At 39.5% G+C, this 1,437-nt stretch overlaps 1 annotated feature.

Annotated features, from left to right (window-relative positions):
• Positions 558–657: an enhancer, noted in NCBI's record as "active region_21412". NCBI's record gives its function as "activates an Ori minimal core promoter by ATAC-STARR-seq in GM12878 lymphoblastoid cells {active_cell/tissue: GM12878}" and the evidence as "EXISTENCE:reporter gene assay evidence [ECO:0000049][PMID:35858748]".

The raw sequence follows: 1,437 nt of genomic DNA, 5'->3' as shown, positions 1-1,437 counted from the left end.
CAATGCAATAATACATAAGAATTAATGGAGGCCTGGACCAGGATGTTGGTGGGGGCAGAGGTGCTGAGAAATGATCATATTCTGAATGCAAAATTTCCCATACCTGCTCACTGATGTTGCTGTTTCTTCAATACTTGCTATTTCAGTACAACAGAATAAAGAAGTCTATTCCATTTTACTCCTCCTCCTCCTCCAGTCGTTTTTGCTATATCAGATTCTCCAGTATTGAAGCTAAGAGACATAAGGCTCATAAAAATCTATCTTGGCTACTGGAGTTATACTCTAGTGTGGTACGCTCTGTGGGTGATAGATTTCAAGTGCTGAAATTTTGTATTGGGGAATTTTTTTTTTTTGATCGAACTATCAGTCTTTCTCAACTACAGTTTTCTGTTGGAGCCAAAAAGTCACGGCCATCTGGTTATTTATATTTTTTCCTCTGCTCCTATCTTTCAGCAGTCCACCCCAAAGCAGACTTGCCTGAAGGAGACTGTTTTGGATAGAATCATTTCTGTGTAACTCATTATTAACACTGCAGGATTTATGCATGTCCCATGGGAAACAAAATACTTGTTGTCACACATGAAAGAAAGTACTGCTTTCTCCCCCCAGACTCAGGCTCATCTCTCTTCCTCTTTTTTTTTTTTTTTTTTTGTTTCCCTTTAGCCTTGACTTTATTGTTTTCGTTTGTGAGTCATGCGCCAGGCACTGAATTCTCATTTCAAAAGACAATGACAAACTCTTCACGTGGTTCTCTAAGAGTCTGATTCACTTTATAGGGTAGAGTATAAAAATGGTCACGATTCTCTTTATTCCTATATCAGTACCACTTTTAACATAATTTGCAATTCCTGTTATCAAAGGATAGAGTCCCTTTCTTGACCCTTAAATATGAACTTAAACTTGGGGCAACCAAAGCAACGTTGGGTTAGTAACGAGACGAGTACTCTAGAGAACTTTTGCATTTAGGACCTCTATCATGTTACCGTGTGAACAAGCATGGGCTAGGCCCCATGTAAATGAGATGAGCCATCTCAGCCACACGTTTTGGGGTGGTTTGTTATGTGACAAAAAAATAATATGCTTGGATTAAGTAGAAGGAACAAACCCTACCATACTATAAAGAAGGGCACTACACTAAAAAAAAATTCATTTTCCTAATCAATATTCAAGCCTTTATATACTTTCAAGGTCAATGATAGCTTAGTAATCATCAACCTACTCTTGTGGTTACTACTTAACAAATTCTCTAAGAATGGTGAAATTTTTCTTTCTAGAATGTTCAGGCATTAAACATTCTCCATTTAGAAGATTCATCCAGGCCGGGCGCGGTGGCTCACGCCTGTAATCCCAGCACTTTGGGAGGCCGAGGCGGGTGGATCATGAGGTCAGGAGATCGAGACCATCCTGGCTAACAAGGTGAAACCCCGTCTCTACTAA

The sequence above is a fragment of the Homo sapiens genome, chromosome 4 (assembly GCF_000001405.40).
Source record: "Homo sapiens chromosome 4, GRCh38.p14 Primary Assembly".
NCBI lineage: Eukaryota > Metazoa > Chordata > Mammalia > Primates > Hominidae > Homo > Homo sapiens.
The sequence above is the reverse complement of the archived record's forward strand: the minus strand, read 5'-3'. Positions and strand labels throughout refer to the sequence as shown.